At 36.4% G+C, this 24,788-nt stretch overlaps 1 annotated feature.

Annotated features, from left to right (window-relative positions):
- Positions 6,789-6,989: a silencer, noted in NCBI's record as "peak525 fragment used in MPRA reporter construct". NCBI's record gives its function as "represses an SCP1 promoter by STARR-seq MPRAs in K562 erythroleukemia cells {active_cell/tissue: K562}" and the evidence as "EXISTENCE:reporter gene assay evidence [ECO:0000049][PMID:32103011]".

Raw genomic sequence — 24,788 nt, 5'->3', positions numbered from 1 at the left:
AGTAGTTAGAGGCATATTTTATTCCTGTCCATAGACAATATTTAAACGTGTCCTTAAATCCTGGATTATTTCTATTGTGCATGTAACTACATTGAAGAATAAATATGCAAAGTGCAGATAATAAACATCTAAAGATGAGAGAGCAAAGGGGGAAAGAAGTTTTGAACACGGTTAATGCTCTAACTAAAGTAACTAGGACATGATAAAAGCCCACCATGAAAATATATATAAATTTTTCTAAAATTATGTTCCTTGAATAAATTTGCATAATAATCACCTGAAAGGTAGGTGCCAAGGCTGACCCTAAGCCTACTGAATGAGAATCAAAATCTCTGAGGGATGAGGCTGGGGTGAAGCAGTGATCTACGTTGTAGGAGGTCCCCCTTTCTCGGTAAAAGCATTCATAAAGTAAGTTAACAAAAAATATACCATTTACATAATTTACAGTCTTTATATTTAATTTCTTAACTATCTGCATATGAATTTCTGTTCACGCGGTTTAACTACAGAATTTGGACCTGTTGAGGAGGTCACACACATGCTACCGTAATGACTGGGATACTGAACCTTTAGCTTGTCATCTTCTTAACTCTTAACTCAAAGGCAAGAATTGTTTGGCCAGGGACAAAGGAGCAGCTGCAATATTTGGATCTGCCTAACTGTATTTTCCCAAGTCTTTCAAATGTATGGATCTTCCTGGGCTGTAACCCCAAAGCATATTACAACCATGATTTTGAAAAGTCATTTAATGAAAACACTTTGATAAGCCATCAAAGCCTGATATTGTCTTTTACTAACATTTAGTGGAACACATTGCTACATACTAAGAAGTGATAGCTCAAAAGCCAATTGATGTCACAGACAGTGCTAAGGTGGTTCATAAATTTGAAATGACAACAGATGCTTTGAAAAGGAAAGCCTGCTGGATTTTGATTGAACATGCTAATTTTCAAAAGAATCATTCCCTAGCTTGATTTTATACAGTGCAACCTGTTAAGGCTATTTGGAAAGCACAGAGGCGGGTGATAAAATAATATTGAGCTCAATTATCCATTATCAGAGGAAGAGATGCCAGCATCCCTTTAGTCCCTTTGCAGGCTTATTTGAATACACAATACAAGAGGGGAGTGGTGAGATGACTCAGAGGACAAGCAGCTGTGTGCTCAGGGAGCTATCAGGGTGAATAAGTGACAAAATTTGGGGATCTATTCCTGCTAATTTGGTTTTGCTTCGAGATTAAAGCTTTAATTTCTACCACTCGAGAAAAGAGAGTTAAACAAACAGCCTCTGTCCTTAAGGCAAGATTAAATTGAATCCTTTATCATAAGAATCCATAGAGGCTGAGATTAAAAATTCTCATCAGTCAGTTAACTTTAGAAAATATTTAAGTGGAGGATTTCATGGCAGAGAAGTTTCTTTATAGCCAAGATTTCTTTAGCTGCAGAAAACTAAATATAGACATTCATGACTTGTTGGAGTGATTAACAAATTGGTGGCAGTCCTCAACCTCCCTCTGCTTAAGCATTTTAGAATTTCTCCTGAATAAATCACTGTGAAAGGATAGCCTTGTGTACCGACAACTGTGAAGCAAGGGTTGGCCCCCAAATATTCTCTAGTTGCCTGATATTTCTCCTATTTAATCTGGTTCTTTAAGGCTTTTCTAGGGATACATACTTTGTTAAGCTTTAGCTTTAGTCAGGGATGGGATTAGGATGAGGTGAATGAGGCAGTCACCTTGGAAACAAAATTAAGAGTGTGCCAGATAAGTCAGTATTAAATATAAATGATATTTGATGCAATAATTCAAAAAACCCCATAAACTTAATGCAAAAAAAGTCATAATGAACAATGATCAAAAGTTTCAATAAATACAAAATGATGTTTATTTTTTGACTCTGCATTACTCTGCAGCAGTAGTTGCTTCTATTCAGCCTGGCCACTTTTAGGCCCCAAAGCCACTGCATTCTCCTTGTCCCCCACATTCTCCAACAAGTGGACTTATAAAGATGGGCAAGGACAGGCAAGTGGAGGGTAAACCATAGCGATTAGATATCATTTTTTATGGTAAAGCTGTTTTTTTTTTAACTGCTTTGTTCAATATAAATTTACCCATAAATTAGAATATTTTGAAACATCATAGTTCTGCGGTCAGATTGATTCTCCTTTTCCCCCACTGGTTAATTTGTATTATGTTGTTTGTTTGAAATATGATTAACCACGCTTTTCATAAATCCAAAATGTGGAGTTTTGTGTTTTGAAGTGAGTAATCTTAATAGCCTGTTTGACTAGCAGTCAGAAAGTTTAGAAAAAAAAAATAAAGAATTTTATCTCTACTCTGGACCAAAAAATCCGGCTTAGACTGCTGCCTGTAGAGAAGCTAAAGAAAGATTTACTGGAAACATTTTTGGCTTTGAAAGCTCTTTTTAATGGGTAACCCAAATGCCATTTTACTATAGAGCATATAGACTTCTAACAGCAATAGCTGAGGTGTTCTGTCTAATTGGCTACTTAGATAACTGAGGTTACATATATCAATCAAGGTATCAGACATTTTGGAAGTGTATCAGTTGGAAAGTAACAATGAGAGAATTAAATAATTTTTGTAGTTTTCATTCTAAAAAGTATAATAGTAGAAATATAATCTCAGATATGTCATATACTTATTCTTCTGATTAATTTTAAAAATTTAACTTGTTTCCTGAAAAATTTCACCAATGCAAGAAAAATAATCAAGTGTTTTTTGTCCTTATTTTAATTCCTAAAGATTCTGTAATGAAAATATTTTATCTCATTCAATGTAAATATGTGAGGATATCTGCTTCTATTGGTGGTCAGTTTGAAAGCCTGTAATATTTTAGATGGCATGTATATCAAACATTTAGAGGTGACATACATTATGAAAACAAGGAGATTAATTTAAAGATATGGTTCTAAGACCATCTTTCTTCTCCTCCTTTTCCTCTTTCTTCTTTTTTCTTTAGAATTACTTTGTTTTTATTTGGTCCAACCTGAAAAGATGTATATCTAAGTCAATATAACAAGAGGATGCTCTGAAGATAGAAAAACCATTGGCTGGTCTCAAAACAGAACAAAGCCCACTGTTGAAGGAAAAAGATGTGAGGTAAAGTCATAGCTTTTTTTAAAAGCAAATGTAGGCAATCTTTTCATTAATTTAGTCATGCAGTGAGGACTCCTAAGGTACCCTTATGGCACACTTTGAGGAATAAATGGTTCAGCTTTAAAATGTATAATATAAAATTTGAGAACAAGATAATTTCCAACAACTTAAAGAAGCACTTTTTGAGAAGCCCTTTAGGGCATACCTCATTGTATTATATGTTATACACAAAAAATGCATAAATATCTTTAAGCAGAATGTAGTTTCTTCCCCTTCAAGAGGCTTTGGGAGGCTGAGGCAGGAGGATTGTTTGAGCTCAGGAGTTCAAGACCAGTCTGGGCAACTTAATGAGACCTCATGTCTACATAAAATAAGAAAATTAGTCTGGGTGTAGTGGCATGCACCTGTAGTCCCAGCTACTCAGGAGGTTGAGGCAGGAGGATCACTTGAGTCCAGGAGTTAAAGGCTGCAGAGAGCCGTGATCATGCCACTGCACTTCAGCCTGGGTGACAGAGCAAGACTGATAAAGTTTGGATGTGTTCCCCACCCAAATCTCAGGTTGAATTGTAATCCCCAGTGTTGGAGATAGGGCCTGGTGAGAGGTGACTGGGTCATGGGGGTGGATTTCTCTTAATTAGTTTAGCACCATCGTTTTGGTGCTGTCCTCACAAAGTGTGTGAGTTCTGGTGAGCTTGGCTGTTCAAAAGTGTGGCACCTTGCTCCCTTTCTCTCTCTTGGTCCTCCTCCAGCCATGTGACATGCCTGCTCCCGCTTCATCTTTCGCCATAATTGTAAGTTTCCTGAGGCCTCCCCAGCAGCCAAGCAGACACCAGCATCATGGTTCCTGTACAGCCTGCAGAACTGTGAGCCAATTAAACATCATGTCTTCATAAATTACCCTGTCTCAGGTATTTCTTTATAGAAATGTGAGAATTAACTAATATAAAGACTCTTTCTTAAAAATAAAAGTTTTCTGGTGATAAATAGAACACAGTGGACTATTTAGGGAGCATCACATGAAAAAATAAAATTGTTTTAAAATTTACTTGCCAATATTCTATATCATGCTCTTAAAGCCATTATGGTTTTTGTTGTTGTTGTTGTTGCTATACATGTTGGTTCATGTAAAATATAAAATATATGTATATTTTTGGAAGGCGTTTTAGGTCAATTTTTTTTCTTTCTCAGCAAATAGAAGTGATGGAAATGTGGCTGACGACAGACAAGCAAATTTTATAATGACTGGCAGTAGCAGGAGAGAAAAAGTAAGATAAATGGAAGTGGAAAGACTATATAAAGGAGAGAACTGACAGCATAGATTCTTTAACCCACAATTTTTTTAACTTCTTAATTTTATGTTTTTAATATACATGGTTCTTTCATATATACCATGTTATTGAAAATGAATGGCACGAACCTAGATTAACTCAAAAGAGCAAGAAATGTGAAACCAGAGGGGAAATTTGCAAATGTATCTTTTTAAAACAGGATTCTCTTCTTTTTGTGGCAATGTTATTTGAACACCTACTGCAGGCTAGATGTCAAGAGTCAAATCGTTCTTTTGTAAACATCTTCCTAAGTATCCCAGTGAATATATTCAAGAAAAAATAAAATAAAATAAACAATGTGTATAAATTCCTCTTTGTCCTTATATGAAGGGAAAGTCAAGTTTTCGTTATTTTGGCAGGGAAGTGTAATTTTTGTTTATACCATTAAAGGAAACTGTACCCCTACCATATCTCATTATCTCTCTCTCTCTCATGTACACATAAAGACACACACACACACACACAACACACAATTTTAATAGAGTTAACTCATTACTTTGATCTCCAAGTTCATTCATATTTTTCTTACCTCATTAATAATAGGCCAATGTCTGTTATATGGTAAGGAGTGCTGAACTAGGCACTGGGGACACAGTACAGAATGAAACATTGCTATTACACTGAAAGATTTCTTAATCTCTTTAAGAGCAGGGATGTAGTATGTCTGAGTGGATGTATGCCTGTTACCATTGACTACATAGGATAGTTTTTTGCACATAGAGGTTCTTCAATAACTGCTGGTGAATGAACAGTGATAAATTTGTTTCATTGATTTAATTTCCACCTTTTTGTTTATTCAGCATAAGGATTAGTGATCATGAAACAAAATACATATGAAACATTCTTATCTTCAGTAAAAATTCTCAAAATTAAATTTTACACTTTAGATGACTTTTTATTCATTTACTAAACATGCATTGAGCCTCTATTAGGTGCTAAGCACTTATATTGATAGACCATGATGCACACCACAGACACAGTCCCTGCCTTCTTAGAGAAGACAATGTGTTGAGGACTCCATTTTCTTTTCTGAATACAAACTAAGAATAATGCAGTATGAAGCAATAATGGGTGATCCTGTTAGAGGACCAAAGATGATTGATGTACAATGCTTAGATATTTTATGTAGTTGCCAAATATTTGAAAATTTACCCAGAAGTGATTGAAAACTTTTTGGAAACAAAAACAAATAAAGCCAAAAGGTAAAATAAAAATATCTTTGCACTCTCGTTATTACCTATCCATAACTTTTTCACCGTAAGCTCTCCTGCTTGTTAGTGTAGTGTGGTTACATTAAACTTTTTAGTTATTATTTTTTATTCACTTTTCCACTAGAAAGTCATTATTGATTTAGCACACATGTTGATCTCATTTCATTTTTTCTTTTTATAGGCAAAATTTGATGCTATGCAACAAAAATACTCAAGCCCATTATCTTTTTTCCCCCCGAAATCTGAAAATTGCAGGGGACAGAGGGAAGTTATCCCATTAAAAAATTGTAAATATGTTCAGTTTATGTTTAAAAATGCACAAAACATAAGAAAATTGTGTTTACTTGAGCTGCTGATTGTAAGCAGTTTTATCTCAGGGGCAACTGCATTTGGAAACAGACAGATATCTTGGCTCTTACCAGTGACAGAGAGAATCCTTTGAGGCTGTGAGTTCATGCTGAGTGATTTCCAATTAACCCATTTCAATAAATGAGTGTTTATCCCTTGTTCACATAAGAGCTGAGCCCTCATGCCATGTTTTCTTTTCACAAATTTCCTGTTACTTTACTCCCTTTGTAGGTGTCTTACCTTAGCTTTCAAATCTATATGTGTTACACTTGTCATCATATATAGTCAAAAACCAATTGGCAATTAGTGAGAAATAATTATCGACATATAAAATGCAAATTATAAAACTATGTCAAACAAAATTAATTTGGAAATATTTTAACATATTTTACAAAAGTTCAGTTCTTTGATTTATAAATTGCTCTTATATTAGCAAGAAAAACACCAACACCGATTAAAAAAAAAGCTAATGAGCAAAGAACAGAAGTAGACAATTCACAGGAGAAGATACACAGGTTGATAACCAACAAATAATTAGTTGTATTCTGAATTATCTAGAAATGCAATTTTAAAAAGCAACAAAATATATCTTACTGCCTCTATGTAAAAAACAAAAACCAAACAAACAAACAAAAACCACCATAATTCTAGTAGCTTAAAACCATGATGATTCATTTCTTGTTCTTGCTATATATCATTCATGGGTCAGGGCTCTGCTCAATATCGTCAGTACCTTTAGACCAGCCCTAGAGAAGCACAGAAACTATATAACTTTGCCAGTCATAACAGTAAGAAAAACAGAGACCTCTGCTGTGGTTCTCACAGGGTATTCAATACTCTAGCTCAGAGATAAAACAGGTCACTTTGACTTGGCACTTATTAAGTAGAACTGACTAGATGGCCCCAGTCAACCACAGCCCTCCAGGATTCGTTAGAAGTCTGAGTAACAAGTACATAATGAGCATCAATAATGACTATTTCACTGGTATTCCCTTTTGTGCTTTATTTTTCTCCATACCATGGTACCACTTCTGTGCTACATTTATTCACTACTTACTTATTCTGTTCATTGTCTATTTATACTCTCCTCTCTTCTTTCTCACTGAAAAACTAAAGTCCGTGAGGGCTCAAGGGCACAGACATTGTTTACCTTGTTCACCATTATATTTCCAGCACTTAAAAATTGTCTGCTATATAGTATTTGCTCCTTAAAGAGTCACTAAAAGAATATAAAAAAATCTATCAAGTTCTATTTTTTAAAAAATATATTATAATCCCAAATGCTAGCAAGTGTGAAATGTTATGGATATTTGTATATACTGCTAGTGAACTAAAAATCTGGATTCATATTTTCTGGAAGTCAATTTGGCAATATACAACAAAATTAATTACAAATACAAGTAATTGTTTTGGAAAAACTGTTTCTTTTATAACCATTTAAAATATTAAATATTGAAAAACAATCTAAATTTCCAATGATGACATTATGGTTAGATACATTTGATATGTCTATTAAAATATTAGCTATTCTAGTATAGAAAATTTATGTAATAATGAAAATATTCACAATGCAACACATACGCAGCATAAGTTATTATGTTAAACACTCATGAGCTAAAGGAGAAATTAGGACAAATGCTCCTAACCAGGTGCAGACAGAGCTTATATACTGCCCAGCTTGTCTTTCTATACCAAACACCTAGAATTGACCAGTAAATTAATGTCTGTAATAGCAATGGAACACAAGAGTAAGCAACATTATTAAACTGTAATATATAAAGAAGCTCAAAGAAGGAAAGCAGTCTTCATGGATCCCAAGCAAGTGTGAACCTAGCATGGCACATTTTATCAGATGTTAAGGCTGGAGAATAATGCTCTTTGGCTCAATGCTCTGTTCTTCAGTCTCACTAATGTCACAGCCCCACCTTCTGGTTCAACTGAGGTGGCCGCTTGACCTTGGAAGCCATGCATACATCTCTGGTATCATTTTATGTTTTTGTCCTAGTCTCTTTTTATAAGGACACCAATCACTTTGGATTAAGGCCCACGCTGATAGCCTTATTTTAACTTATTTACTTTAAAGACCTTATCTCCAAATATTGTCACGTTCTGACTTGGGGCTTAGGGCTTAACATGTGAATTTTGGGGGACGAAACCAGTCCGTAATAGTTATAATTGGTTATCTGAAGAAAACCAGCCGACAACTTTGAAAGGATGCTCGTACTTGTCTCAACAATGCATTTCTTTCACTTTCATGAAGAGAGAGTCCTCTGGCTTATTCCTGGGGAGTGTGGTTAGGGAGTGTTTAAACAGTTTGCACATACAAGATCCATTCAACTATTTTTATCTCCCTGAACCTTCACATTTTTTCCTATACAGTGTGTTACCACTGTATCCAACTATTAATGCCATTCCCTGGTACTTGAACCACCATATTTAATCTTTGTTTCTAGGTGAGTTGGAGTTATATTGATAAAAGCAGCCTGACTCTGTCTTACAGTATTAGAATCTATTTGCATAAGTGTAACTCAGACTTCTGCAAATAAAAATTGGCAAGAAAGATCATGCAATTTGGGGGAGCTATATTTCTCTTGGTTCATTGAAGACCTTATACTATTCTATCTAGGAAATTTTGTGATCTGCCTCTCTAAGAACATAGAGACAAAAGTTATTCCTTGATTAGGCAATGCTCAGTTGAGTCCTTAAAAGGTTTAATCAGGCCAGGTGTGGTGGCTCATGCCTGTAATCCCAGCACTTTGGGAGGCCAAGATGGAGACCATCCTGGCTAACATGGTGAAACCCCGACTCTACTAAAAATACAAAAAATTAGCCAGGCGTGGTGGCGGGCGCCTGTAGTCCCAGCTACTCAGGAGGCTGAGGCAGGAAAATTGCTTGAACTCGGGAGGCGGAGGTTGCAGTGAGCTGAGATGGCGCCACTGCTCTCCAGCCTGGTTGACAGAGGGAGACTCTGTGTCACCAAAAAAAAAAAAAAAAAAAGGTTTAATCAAATGAAGTCTGGATTCATCAGAAGGGTAAAGAGGATCTCATCCCGCTGCAAGATTATTTCAAGGTATTTGGAAATTCAGAGTTCAAAATCTCAGACCATGTTGTATTTGTTCTAATGTCTCCATTGTACCTTTTTTGGTTTCCTAAGTCTTTTTTTCCCTTAGCAGGCAGAACTTGGTGCAGGTGATTTTTTTTTGGTGTTGCAACACAGTAAGCAATACAATCTGGTTTGGGGGTCATTGTCAGCCATGGCTATAGGAGAAAAGGAGTCTTGAGGCTTTTTTGTTCTCCATCAGTTCATTTCGAGATAATCTAAATTCCTGATTTGACCTTTTCTTTGGGTAGGATCTTCCAAGAAAGTCAGAAGAAGTTAGCCCGGTCTACAGACTGGGTTAATTATCTAGAGAAAAAGTTATTACAATTTTGAATAAATCATGAATTTTTAATAGTTTAACTTGAGAAATTGACTCAAGGTTACTATTCTCTCCATGCAAATAAAGCCAGAAAAGACAAGAGAAACTGGTAATTACAGTAAAGTATCTGAAAGCAGTCACTCAGGAAACTTTTCTGGTGAACAGCTGAGAATCAGCTACTTAGCTCTATTCATGGAGACGCATCAAAGAATGGTTCATTTAAACCAAGCTCACACATGCGGATATTTATAGCTCCTTTTTATACAGAGGAGGATGTTGTACATTCATTAATGTTAGTTGAACAAAAGATCAAGGTATATTTTGTGTCAACTTGACCAGTTAAGAGTTCAACAATGAATGATTATCAGTTAGTTAAAATAAAGTTTATTTAGGGATGATAAAATAAACTTCAATATTGATTTATGAAAAGGCTTTAAAAAGGGAAATTCTCTGTAAACATGTGTACTCAATGGCCCATCAATAACTGTGGTCTTCTTGCTTCATTTATCCTGATTTTATCCTAAGCCAAGAGCGTAAAAATAAATATTAGATGCCAAGAGAAATGTAAACATGTCATTCTAATAAACCTCTTTACCGAAATCTTTTTTTAAAACTCAGAACACTTACTTGTTATTTTTGCCTCAAATATATTTATATTTGGTATGCATCTCTTAGCAACTTTCTGAGCAATATATTTTTAAAGTGCTGACAAAAATTTCTATTTTCTATACTTAGTACAATTCAATATTCAAATAACAAAAAAAAGCCAAAACATTTTACTTGAACTTTGAAAACCAAAGATGATTTATTTTATATTAATATGTTCAGTTACATTTAGAATCGTTTGACAGAAAATTAATAATGATTAGAATTATACTGTTTGTATTGTCTAACTTTATCAGAAAGATATAAAATTGCTTAAAGTTTTAGGCATTTTGAACAAGAAATATATGTATATGTAAATGCGTATATTTAACACTAAATATAACACTAAATTATACTCTACCATGAATATTTGTGAAAATTATTGAAAAATGAGAATGAGTTTATGAAATAACATGCAAAAGATAGTAATTTTATATATGATGATGATTATAATGTACATTATTTCACAAATGGATAAATACTGAAATAAACTTTAATAAAAACATTTTTACTAGGTAGATAAGATTTTTAATATTTTCAGAATGAATTATATAACATAAAATTTGAGTGTATATGTTAATCAAAAAAGTGAGGAAGAAAATCTAAAATGTCAAGTTAGAGAAATGGAATTGCTTGAAACTCAAAATGAAAAAAATATATAAAAAATAATAATATATTAAAGAGAATGCCAGGATTCAGTTTGGATAAGGAACCTTTTTTAAAAAAATGTTTGTAGAGATAGGGTCTCACTATGTTGCCCAGGCTGGTCTCTGAAAGTGCTGAGATTACAGGCATGAGCCACCATGCCCACACCTGGATAAGGAATCTTAAACATTAAGGAAAATGTTGGCAATATACAGCTACAAAATTGAAAAGTACACAAATACAGTTACTAAATTTATAGGAAAATAAGAGGAGCATTTAAAGGAAATATAAAGAGATCACATGTGAAAATATCTGTCACAGTGCTTTCCTGAGTCAGTGTATTTTAATTTTTTTCTTTTCTTTCTGGAACTTACAGATTTGAAAAGAAGAAGAAAGGGAAAGCAAAGTGTAAAATATGTATTTGAATTTATAAATAGGATAACTCAGTGGATACTGTTGCTATCACTTATACATATTCTGCAATAAAAAAGCTTGCTTTGCTGTGAGGACAGTGAATTCCACTTTGAGTTGAAACACTGAAAGATGCCTGATTTGAGAAGTCAGGCAGGCAGATGAATAGTACTCAGGGAAAAGGCCCAAGATACAGATAAATCTGGTAGTTATCAGTCTATACAGAGGGGAGAATCATTGTAGATGTAAAGCATCTCCTATCTTACTCGAAATGTTGTCCTTTGAGCAACAGAATTTGGTTCACCCAGGAGCTTGACGGCAAGGTGGAATCTTGGGCTCTGCCTTGACATCCTGGATCAGAAATGCATTTTAAGAAGATCTACCCGTGACTTAAATACACACTAAAATATGAGAACTACCGGCCTAGAGAATACCATGAGAAATGAAGACTATGTCTGAAGAATTCTAAATGCTAAAGAGAAGGATGAAAAGAAACACAAATATCAATTTATGGTAATATCAGGGACATAGAGAAACACAGAGAGACAGGTTTCATGAAAGGAAATGGAGGAGTTTTAAGGAAGGGCCCACGATGCCCAGTGCTTCTGAGGTCAGTAAAATAAATATTGGAAGGGGCCCCTAAAATTCGACTATCATGTAGTCATTACTGATGTTTCTGGAACAATTTATGTTAAGCAGTGTTGGAAAGAAGCTAGATATCTGTGGCTTAGTAAGTGATTAGGAAGTGTGAAATTTAACATAACAAGTAGAGAATAGATCACATTTACAAAATTTGGCAGTGAATACAGTCAGAAGTTTTACAGCAAGAAAAAGGTTGGAGAAACTTTCTTGTAACTGGAGAATTTTATGCATAACAAAAAGAGGTCATAGGAGAAGAAACTGATTGCTAGACCAAAATCATTGCAGAATAAAGAGCATGGGAACTCAAATGGGGTTGCTGTTACTGGAGAAGTTAATAGAATGAAAATAATTAAGAAGCTAAGTTGAGAGGTATCCAAGTAATTATCTCAGTTTTTCTGCAAACACAGATAAGATAGGATATGTGTTTATGGGTCTCAACTCTAGAATCACACTTTCTGACTTGAATTCCAGTTGCTCACCCTTTTATTAACTCTGTTTTCTACACTGTAAGATTGGAATTATAATCAAATCTTTTTTTCTTCTTTTTGAGACGGAGTCTCACTCAGTCACCTAGGCTGGAGTGCAGTGGTGCGATTTCGGCTCACTGCAACCTCTGCCTTCTAGGCTCAAGTGATCTTCCTGCCTCAGCCTCCTAAGTAGCTAGGACCACAGGTGAGAGCAACCATGCCCAGCTAATTTTTGTATTCTTGATAAAGATGGGATTTTGCCATGTTGCCCAGGCTGGCCTCGAACTCTTCGGTTCAAGTGATCCACCTGCCTTGGCCTCCCAAAGTACTGGGATTACAGGTGTGAGCCACTGTGCCCAGCCTCAAATCTTTATATCAGAAGCAAACCACAGAAATTTTTTGTTCTGTTTGTTTGAGGTGACAGAAATTTCCAGCAAGCTAGACAACTGAAATCAGAAATGAGCAGGCTTGGTGGCAGGTAGGTAACAGTAGATTTCATCTCCTCCCAAGCACTCTGAGGCCAGGCCTATTCCCTCTTACACTATCCTCTGGCTCTGGCCATGGAGGTAAAAAGACAGGGGAGCTGAAGCTGATGCCTGAAATCTAGAGATCTGCAGTATTCAAAAGATTATTGATAGAGCAACTGGGGAAATAAGAGACAAGCCAGAGATGGTAGAATCCAAAAAGAATTTTAGGGAAACAGAGACTGAATGTTCAAAGAAACCAAATGTTTCAGAGGTCAGAGTAGATGAAAATAGAAGTTCAGGTCTGTCTGTGTTCAGAATAAAAGGAATAATTATGTATGCAGGATTTTAAGGGACTACCACATAATTAGGGCTGCAGTTTAGAATATGACTATGAATATGTATGGGGTAGGGGTCGCAGAGGTTGAGAGGGTGTTTAATTGTAAAATGTGTGGTGTGAAAATGTGACTCATCTACACTGGGGCCTGATCACAAATAACATAAGTAGTGTTCCAGGGAATTCTGATTTATTATGACAGACAGATTCTGTAGATTGGATTGGCAGTCAACACTATAGAGGTGATTATAAGACAGTAGGGCCGGGCATGGTGGGTGGCTCACGCCTGTAATCACAGCACTTTGGGAGGCCAAGGTGAGCAGATCACAAGGGCAAGAGATTGAGACAATCCTGGCCAGCATGGTGAAACCCCATCTCTACTAAAAACACAAAAATTAGCTGGGCGTGGTGGCGAGTGCCTGTAGTCCCAGCTACTTGGGAGGGTGAGGCAGGAGAATCACTTGAATCCCAGAGGCAGAGGTTGCAGTGAGCTGAGATCATGCCACTGCATTCCAGCCTGGCAACAGAGTGAGGCTAACTCTCAAAAAAAGAAAAAAAAAGTAGAATAGATAAAGTATCTGAGGGAGAAAGTGGAAAGAGAAAAGGATGAAGAAGGAGAGCTGAGATCTGCAAAGCTCTTACAACTAGAGTATCATTCTAAAAATGAACAAATGATAAACATGAAAATAAGCAAGCAGCTGCCAGGTGAACATGTGGATGGCAAGATCAGTATGACTGAGCATCTATATTCCAGTAAGTGCAGTAAGTTCTAGAGCATCAGCAATGGAGAGCCATAAAACGGAGTGCACAATTGGTATGGCGCATATATGATAGGATATTATAGGGAGCTTGTTCTGCTCAGGGTGGTGGTGGCATTGGTGCCACTGCCTATAGAGAAGAAGATGAGTAGGAATTCTTGAGCTAATGGAGTGGACAAAGTGGGAGTTATTGTTACAATAATGGTTGTGTTCTGGGGAACAAAGGGATCCAAAGATGCGGGGACATCTGAGGAAGTGGGTACTAAGGGAATATCAGAATGAAGAGGTAGAAGAGAATTATTTTCAGTATGTAGCAATACTCATTTATTAAATATGTCAGGAGAGGCAGAAGTACATAGCAAGGATTTATCTGTCATGAAAATTAATTTATTCCAACGCCTTGCCTGAAGCAATAATCACTAACTGATCATGGTTTCCTTTCATAGGAAGCCCAAACAAACCCTAGAATCTTTCTTGACTTAGTAAGTGGTACAGGGAGTTTACCAAAGGCAATTATTAGTGTACAAAATAAAACTCATTGCTATTGATAGTTTGACTGTAAAGGAAGACAAAATAACACAAGAAAGAGAGGTCAGATAGATTGGTAGTATGGATATTTGTATTAAGAAAGATGCAGAGGGATAGAGGTGAGGAGAACCAAGCGGAAATGCTGAAATAATATAGGAAGTCGGAAATTAATAGAAGTAGCAGATAATCAATATTTGTAGTGAGTTAAAGTATATCCTTTCCTTCTTACATGTTAGCTAACAACGGCTTAAGAAAAATTGGTGCTTAGCATGAAATTGGAAATTTGGAATTGCTAAATTCTTTCTTAAGGTCTGCTGTGCTTGATTTATTTAATGGTCTACGCTCTTTGCAGTGTGACATCACAGTTCATTAGCAAAGTGGTTATTTGGGTCTATATTTGCATTTTGTTCTATGTACCCATATCAGGAATTGTATTTTAAGAACACTTTGAATTTTTAAAGAACTTTTAACTCAAAGGTGTTACAACAACATTTGTAAAAAACAAAAACAAAAACAAAAAAAACCCTGAAATTTGTTATGAAAAAAGTAGGTCTGAAGGTCACTTATAACGTGATCAGAAAGAAAACAAAAATGAAAGCTCCCAAATCTCCCTATTTAAGCTAGAGGTTTTCTTCACATATTTAAACTTGTTCATTGCATATCTAATCCTTTTACCCTAAAGTCCTTAATTATAATACAGGCTTTAGTCCAATTTCATCTCATAAGAATTTTTTTCTGAAACAATAGCCATGCTATAATTTGGTTTTATTATAAAAAAAATGATAGCAATATATCAAATACTATCAAATTACATAACAAAAAGTATAAGGAGTGGTTGTAGATGATTTAAAAGAAAGATGGCTTTTAGAAAGGAAATATAATTATAAATTAGCCTTGAGAAAATAAAGGACAATATTCCAAGCACAGGGTGCCTAATAATGGTTTATGACTTATATATGAGAACAAGAGAAAAAGGGTGAATTAACAAGTTCATAAGAAAAATATGCAATTTATATTCTAAGTGAGCTAAAAAATCAAATGAGAGAAGAGCCAGTATTTTTTACTCATTATAAAATACAAGAAGGGCAATTCAATGTACAAGCTTATTCATATATATATATATATATATAATTTATTTGAATAAGACATAGAAAGTGGCTGGCCAGAGGGAGAGTGGAAAGAGGCAGAAGCCATATTTCTCTAATAAGTAAACTTTCCATAACCCCTATCACAACATTTATCACTAGAGGCAGCAGGGATGCTGTTGGACTACATGACGTAAGAACTGTAAATTTTTCAAAATTCCAAGCAGAATTTTCTCTAAATTATTTTACCTGAGAAGATTTCCACTTAATGGTATATATTTATGAGATCAGTTGCTTAGAAACAGAATAAAGAGAGAAACTGATGACAAGAAAACCATGATACACTCTCTCCATGATTTCTTGTGAAAATTTAGTTTTCATTGAATTTTTTAGTTTTAGCTTTATATATACTTGATTCATGAATGTTTCATAATTGAGAATTGTACTTATTTTTAATACATAGAGTCTTTCCCTTTATCATTTTTATTTGAAATTATATCTTTAATAATATAGGTATTGTAGTTTCTACTTTTATTTAAAATACATTTCATTTCGTGGTTTCCCTCGCATTATTTTTACTACTCACATATCTGTGTTATTTGACTTTAAAAACTGTTTGCAGTTGGGTTCATTATTATTCTGGTCTGCAAATTCTGACTTTTAATATTTGTTCGCTTTACAAGACCAATACTTTTTCTGTGCTAGCCGTTGTTCTAGATGCTGAGGATACAGCCATGAATAAAACAAAGTCCTTGCTCTCATGGACATTATGTTCTACTGTGAAGAAGCTGACAATAAAAAAATACATTTATAATATTTGGGATATTGATAAGTGCTAGAAAGATACAAAGACATGTAGAGAAAAGGTGTGCATGTCAGACTAGAGGGCATTTGAGCAAGCCTTAGAGGAAGCAAGTCAGCGAGCCTCCTGAATATCTGCTGAATAGCAAAGGTTCCAGAGAGTAGGAAGGTAGTAGCATGCTTACTGGGTTTCCACAGCTGACCATCAGTGAGGCCAGAATGAGAAGGACAGAGTAAATAAGAGGAAGAGCAATAGGAGAGGTCAGAGAGGTAGGAGAGTTCAAGGCCATGTAGAATCATGTAGAGTATGGGGAAAGAACTTGAGAAATTCCTCAGGGTAAGGTTACAAGTCCCAAGGCAGAGGAATGGCATATATTGACATACTAAAGGATTACTAGGGCTGCCACCTGGAGAAAGAACTGGAAAGTGGGGGCAAAAGAGAAGCAGCCAGGCTATTTAAACAGCGATTTACCTTAATCCAGGTGAAGGGAATGGTAGGCTGAACTGGTGGGTTAGCAGAGAAAATTGTGAGAAGTGGTAGAAATCTGGATATATTTTGAAAAGAATGTTGATAGGGTTTGAGAATCAATTAGATATGATGTGTGAAAAAGAAAGATCCAGGCTGGTCAGTAGGAATACTGGTTCCATTGACTAAAACAAAGGAGTTTGGAAAATAATTGTTGGGAAACAATATTTTCATATTTCTGCATGGTCAGGGTTTACTAAACACCGATTTTTGGCAATCTGGGTTAAAGAGTAATTGAATAGTAATCACATTTAGGAAGTTAGATATACTGAATTAGTCCAGATAGAGTTAAAAATTGATCGCCTTGAGAGCCATTTGCCATTTATTTACATTTAAAAGAATGAGAAACAATCCAGAGGCTTCCTTTACATTTCAAAGGGTTGTAACAATTTAGGGACCGTCTCCTCCCTTCCCAGAGAGAATTCCTTCACATTAGACAGTGATGACTTCTCTTCCCCTCTCTAGAGGGAGGAGGGTTGGCGGGGCTGCTGAGAGGCACTTCATATAAACTCCCAGTTACACAATTTCAGGATTCGTCTTATGCAGCGACCCCTTTGCATGTGCAGGCTGACATCTACCTTCACAGCACGGCTTCAAAGGAGAAATAGGGAGTGGGGAGCCAGTGCTGTTATTGCTGTACATAAAACAATCAGTCTGTTCTCTGACCCCGAAATCTTGTATGTTCTCCCAGGATAAAATAAATAAACACAGATAATAAATATTTATCAAGGAAACAGGCGCAGTGGTGTTAGACAGAAATCTTATTATTGAACAGCACAGTGGCGTGTGCCTATAGTCCCACCGATTTGGGAAGCTTTGCTTGAGCCCAGGAGTTGAGGCTGTAGTGTACTATAATCACATCCGTGAATAGCTGCCACACTCCAGCCTGAGCAACATATAGAGGTCCTGTCCCTAAAAATTAAAAAGAAAAGAAAAGAAAAGAAAAAACTTACCAAGAAGGCTTCCAAGTTGGTGGGTGGTAATTAAAAATATCTTTATCCTATCTCTAGTGATTATTATAATTGATATGCTTGTTCTTTCTAAAAGCTTTCTTTTTAGCTTTCTATTTCCTTTTAACGGTTTCATAATAGTTTGGTTGGTTGGTTTTAGTTTTATGTTCCATACTGATTTTGAAACATGAATCTTTTCAAGGTAGATTTTACTTTACCAAAACAGTACATTCATAGAATTTAAAATTTCTAATAGCACCAGAAGCCCATGAAAAAAACAACAAAAAATTAACTTGTCCCTCTCCATTCCTCCACAATCCTCAACTCCAAGGCAATCACTTCTAACTATTTTAACCGTTTCTTATGGCATTTTCATACTCCATATTTTCAAATAATATTGATACATTGTTATCGTTCATTTCAATTCTCTGAGATTGTATCTATTGAGTTCCTATTATGATAAAGGAGAATTCTTACTTTGATCCCACTATCTCCTCTGCTTTTCCTTTCCTATCTTTCCAGTCTATTTATACTTTAACTAAACAATTCATGTTTATATAATTATTCTATAAAATACTATTCATACACGAGCATTGCAATATAATCCTGATTCTGAGTCCCGCTGCTCAGCTCCGTACTGTTTGCCTAACAAGCTTGATGTCAACCTGAGGTATTCCATCCCCACTGTCCTGGAAGTTTCCTGACCATCTCTCCTATGTCAGATCTTTCATCATTACCTAAGAAATGGTGCATGACCGCGAAATTGTTTGCCTCTTGAGGAATCTGAAAATGTCTTTTTTTCTACCTTTGAGGCAGGAAACCAGCAGGACTTATTTCCTGGTCCTGATGGGAAGAAATAAATAAACCGGCAGGAACCAGCCAGTGAGGAAAGGGGTCCCTTGCTGCCCTCATTCCTCATTAGCATAAGACACTCTCACCAGCTCCATGACAATCTACAAATGCTATGGCAATGACCCAGGAGCTCTGCCTCTTTCCATGGCAACAACCCGCAAGTTACCACCCCTTTCATAGAAAGTTCTAAAAAACCCACCCCACAATTTGCATGTAGTTGAAAATGGGTATAAATGAGTATAAATACAGTTGCCAACAGCCCACACCTTGCCAATTCTGGGTACAAGGCCTATGAGTTAGCCCTGGTCTGCAAGAAACAGTACTATTCAATAATAAGATTTCTGTCTAACACCACTGGCTCACCCTTGAATTATCTCCAGGGCAAAGTCAACAACTCTTCCGGATTAAGCTCCAATTTTGGGGCTTGCCTGTCCTGCATCATAATTTTGGGAAAAAATTCAGCATGATGTGGACAGAGGAGACTCTACATGCTTCTAAATTGAAAACCAAAGTCGCATGTGCAGACTTCAGATTTTTTTTCAGCCACTATAATGGAATATAGAAAACACAGGAGCAAGAATTTTCCAAATTCTGAAAAAAAACTTTCAATCTAACAATGCATACCTAGTGTGAAGATGATGCAGGACAGGTAAGCCTCAAAAAACTGGGGCTTAGCTCGGAAGAGTTCTTGGCTTCACCCAGTAAAGACTTCAACAGCAAGCTGGTAGCATTGGACAGTAATCTTTTGTTGAATGGTACTGCTTTTTGCAGAGCAGGATTAACTCATAGCCAGCCCAGAGTGAGCAACACTCACTCTGGTGTTGGCAACCCTATTTATACTCTCTTATACCCACTTTCAATTACATGCAAATTGAGGAGTGGGTTAATGCAAACTAAAGGGGGCAGTATATAGAACTTTCTAGGAAAGGGCAGTAACTCCTGGGTCATTACCATGGAGGAGGGTGGTAGCTTCCAGGTCATTGCCCATAGCATTTGTAAACTGTCATGGTGCTGGTGGAAGTCTCTTATACTAATGAGCAATGAGGGCAGCTAGGGAGCGCTTTATTCCCATCAGCTGGTCCTACTGGTTTCTTTCCTTCAGCCCACCAAATAACTTCTGCCGGTTTTCTATCTCAATTTGACTCAGTAGCTTATACTTTCATCCATTGTGCCAGACATATATGGTGCCTTCTCCGCCTAGGAACTCGTATTTTCAGTTTTGCACAATTTTATTAAAATATTTCCTTGATGCTCATCTCAACTCTGTTTTCTTTTTAAAGTCTTTATAGAATTCCTCCTATTGATTTGGAGATTGGAACTCTCTGACCACCTTTCTAACTTTCTTTTCTCTCCATATTTGCTTCTCTTTGTTGCTTTGCTTTACTTTCTGGAAGCTTCCCTCAAATTTACTTTTCAAACATTCTGAGCTTTTCATTTCTGCTTCCTTCTTTAAATTTCCAAGAGTGGCTTTTCATTCTCTGAATATTTCATCCCATTACATTCTGTCCTTTTGTAAATAATACAATATATTTACTTATATCCTTGAAGGTATTACACATATTTTGAAGTTTTCTTTTTCTACAGAACTTCTGTTTTCTCAAAGTTGCTTTTACTTATTCATTTACGTTAGTGTATATACATATATGTTTATATATATATATGAGATTTTTCTCAAAATGAGTTTCCTGCCTATATTTACTTACTTATTTACTATTTTTAAAAAGCTGGTTGTTAGTTTTTTTTTTTTTTTTTTTTTTTTGAGACGGAGTCTCGCTGTCACCCAGGCTGGAGTGCGGTGGCACGATCTCGGCTCACTGCAGGCTCTGCCCCCCAGGGTTCACGCCATTCTCCTGCCTCAGCCTCCTGAGTAGCTGGGACTACAGGCGCCCGCCACCTTGCCCAGCTAATTTTTTTGTATTTTTAATAGAGACGGGGTTTCACTGTGTTAGCCAGGATGGTCTCGATCTCCTGACCTCGTGATCCGCCCGCCTCGGCCTCCCAAAGTGCTGGGATTACAGGCCTGAGCCACCGCGCCCGGCGTGATTGTTAGTTTTGAGCATGTTATCAGGTCATTGAAATTAACTGCAGGATGACTTACCTGGGTCTTTGGCCAAGAATCCCCATATTAGGAGGATAATAAGGAACTTAGTTTTCAAAGAGTTTTAAAACAACTCCCCTTACTTTAATCCATGTCTCCTTCACTCTCATGTCTCGAGGCAACTGTTGCTGCCAAGTTCTGAGAATTCAGTGATATCTATTAAATTCGCTCTCTATGTTCCCCACTGTCATTTATGGCTCAACTTCTCCCCAGTCACTAATGCAATTACTGCTTATCCACTATATATATATTTTTACAGGGTCTCACTCTGTTGCCAGGCTGGAGTGTAGTGGTGTGATCTTGGCTGACTGCAACCTCCGCCTCCCGGATTCAAGTGATTTTCCTGCCTCAGCCTCCTGAGTAGCTGGGACTACAGGCATGCGCCATAGTAAACATATTTTTCCAAAAATTACTGCTGCTCTTTTCGTTCTTGTTTTTGAATAATTATGGTTTTGTTTTTGATTGATTTTTGTCGGCCTAGTCAGTAGTTTTAAACTCAAGGTTTTAGAAATAAATGAAAGTAGTAGGATATTGCCATTTTTTAACTGGAACACTGCCTCAGGTTTTACATTGACAAAACCTTAAGTTTATGCATTCCAAAACATTATTCCGAAACTTTTCTTTCTGGATATGATGGGGCAAATTAAAATTGAAGTGCTGGGTCTCTTTTAAGATACTTCCTACCTTCTGCACTCCTTTAACCTCCCAATTTGTTAAATATTGCTGGTAGTTAAAATTTGAAGTTTGAAATAGGAATTATTACGTTAGGATTTTTATAAACAATTCCACAGTAAATATGTGGATATTTTATTTTAACTGATTTTTACTTCGTCACTAGTCTGTTATTAGTGAGGTATACTCATTTTTTAACTTAATCTGTCAGCTGGTAGAAGTGTGTCTTCTAATTTTTCATAGAAATTCACATGAATAGAATATTTCTTGCATTTATATTTATAACAGACAGTTCGGATGAATATAAAATTATTGAGTCTATATAGTTTTTTCATAAAACTCACCAGATTTTCTTTAGTATCATTTCATATTTAGCTATTATTCTAGCAGACAAATCTGAGGCGATCCAGGTATTCTGATTCACGCTGCTGTATCTGTTAGTTGTGGTTTAGATATTGCCATGAGTGTTTATTGTGTTTTTGGTCTTCACAGATAATATTGCCTTAAGTCAAGGCAATAGGATTTTCTGCTACAAGTCTGTTTTCAATGTAATAAAAATGATTTTTGAAAATTTAGGTATGGATTGAGTTTATGGAAATTATGAAGAGAGATTTTTTAACTGAACTGGCTCCTCTCTCCCCCTCCCTCTGCTCCCTACCACCAGGCCAGAATAAGTGGGGTTAAGAGTACCTGAGTATTGTGCAGAAGGAAACCAAGGAGAAAAAGTGACCTTTGTCCTTCTTTCAAAATATACTTCCCCAAATCAACCAACGTGGAAAACTAGGCACACTGGGCCACGAGATAATAGTCCTTCCTCTGCCCTACTCTCTGCTCTGTGTTTTGGGAGGCATTTAGAATAGTCTGGACTATCTAGAGCCAGAAATATGAAGTGAGGTTGAGGGGACTAGGGGAATCTGATCTGGTCCCACGGGAGCTTGGCCGGTGAACTTTCTGCCTGTTCAGCAGACCTGTGTCCAAATCAGGATACCAAGGGCAAGGCTTGCCTGGAAAGAACACATTTCCCTTAGCTTCCAGGTAACAAAAAAGTTCCCAGGAAACACGCTGCAGAGGCCAGATAATGATGTTTAAATATTTAGACCTGTGATATGTGGTCCTTAATTTGCATTCCCGCCCTGGGTGAGTGACACAAATTTTAAGAGCAAGATGGTTCATGGATATTTTAGTTAGCAGAATCTGAGGGTTATGAGCCAGACAGTATTTTGAACTAAATATCTCCCAGTTTGATATTTTTTGGCAAATGTATACAAACATACATACAACAACAAAACAAAACAAGAGATCTCCCCTTTGAGTGCTATACCAGCTGGATACATCATTTTTCCCTCTCATTGCTACTACCAACCATTGGGTGAATTGTCCCTATTTTAAAATAATTTAGTATCTAGTCCAACTGGCTTCTTCAAAATCCAAACAGTAGCTAATATTAGCTCTTTATGTTCTGGATTATACTGTCACCCAGAATTATTCCTGTTCTGGAATCTTAAATTCCAAATATGAAAATCTCTGAATGTTTTCTCCTATACTTCCAATTTATTCATACCCAGTTCTTTCTAATTTTTTTTAAAAATTATCTTATCAAGGTATCTAGTTCAAAAAAGTCATCTTTCTTTTTCTTTCCTGTTTTTGGCTTATCTTCATTCTCTGTCCAACGTGGATAACAGGGAGGTGATTCATGAAGCTGAGCTACTTCATGAGGCTTGTGGTTGAATTAACAGTAAAGAATAGACTGTCTAACAAAAAAACATCACTAGGCTGAGGAAGCAACCATGTACAAAGCAAACAGGAAAAGAAGGCATCTGGGAAACTAGATGAGACTAGAGATTCAAAGTCATGGAGATTGGAGGTTGAGTCTAGTCTAGAAGACCTTTTTTTCAAGGCATTTCAGCTATGAGTATAGGGATCAGAGGAAAAGGATAGGAAGGAATAAGATCATAAATTCTGCTAGCAAAAGAGGTCCATAGTCTTGAGGTACATACCTATCATCCAGGTACTACTAGATTTGCAGGTAATAACTTACATGACGCAAGTCATTCAACTACCATGTGTTCTACTTTGATCATTTATTAAACGGGGATATTAATAGCTTTTATTCCATGAGCTTTTTAGTTACTAAACCAATTACTATGTGTAAAGTGCCAAAAAAAAAGTGCCAGTTTTAATAGAATTTAAGAAGCATGGCCAGGTGTGGTGGCTTATGCTTGTAATCCCAGAAATTTTGGAGGCTGAGGCAAGAGGATCACTTGAGCCCAGGAGTTCCAGACCTGCCTGGGCAAAGTAGCGAGACCCTGTCTCTGAAAAAAAAAAAAAAAAAAAGAAATGTCAGTTGTTACTATAGTTATTATTCAAATTACAGTGAAACCTCATGAACCATCTCTGTCCCACTGCAAAGTACACTGCTGTGGTACTTAAGTATTCTTCTACCTTCTACTTAATATCCTTCCTCTTAAATTTCAAATACAGGAAAATTCTCTCCTGATATAGAAAATACCACTGATCAGGTTTTAAGTTTCATTCACAGTGAGTTAAGATGCCACTTAAGATTTTCAGAGCCTTCCTGCCTCTCTCTCCTCTGGCCTCACAGACATTCTGACTTAAATGGACAATGAAAGTAGCCAAATTCACATACTGAGTCTTGATTTCACACAGTACCTACTGTGGTTTGTCCTCTCCTAAATTCATGTTGAAATTTAATCCTTAATACAATAATATTAAAAGGTGGGGACATTAGAAGGTGATTAAGTTATGAGAGTAAAGCCCTCATAAATGGGATTGGCAACATTATAAAGGGGCTGGAGGGAACTAATTTTGCCTTTCTACCTTCTGCCATGTGAGGATGCAGCAAGAAGGTCCTCACCAGTCACTGCATACCAGTGCCTGATCTTGGAGTTGCCACCCTCCAGAACAGTTAGAAGATATATTTTCGTTCTTTATAAATTGGCCAGCTTCAGGTATTTTGTTATAGCACTAAAAATAAACTAAGACAGTATCTTTCCATATAAGCACATGGTAATGGCCACATGAAAATATCAAAACTAATTATAAATTGAAACATACTTGGGCCGGGTGCAGTGGCTCATGCCTGTAATCCCAGCACCTTGGGAGGCCAAGACAGGCAGATCACCTGAAGTCGGGAGTTCGAGACTATCCTGACCAACATGGAGAAACCCTATCTCTACTAAAAAAATACAAAATTAGCCAGGCATCATGGGGCATGCCTGTAATCCCAGCTACTCGGGAGGCTGAGGCACGAGAATTGCTCGAACCTGGGAGGCAGAGGTTGCAGTGAGCTGAGATTGCACCATCGCACTCCAGCCTGGGCAACAAGAGTGAAACTTCATCTCAAAAAAACAAACAAAAAACTATATATACATATACATACATATATGTATATATAGTTTTATATATATATAGAATATATATATATATAGACTATATATATATATACATATGTATACTTCAATC

The sequence above is a fragment of the Homo sapiens genome, chromosome 1 (genome assembly GCF_000001405.40).
Source record: "Homo sapiens chromosome 1, GRCh38.p14 Primary Assembly".
Classification (NCBI taxonomy): domain Eukaryota; kingdom Metazoa; phylum Chordata; class Mammalia; order Primates; family Hominidae; genus Homo; species Homo sapiens.
Note: the sequence above shows the minus strand (reverse complement) of the source record. Positions and strands in the feature narration are given on the sequence as shown.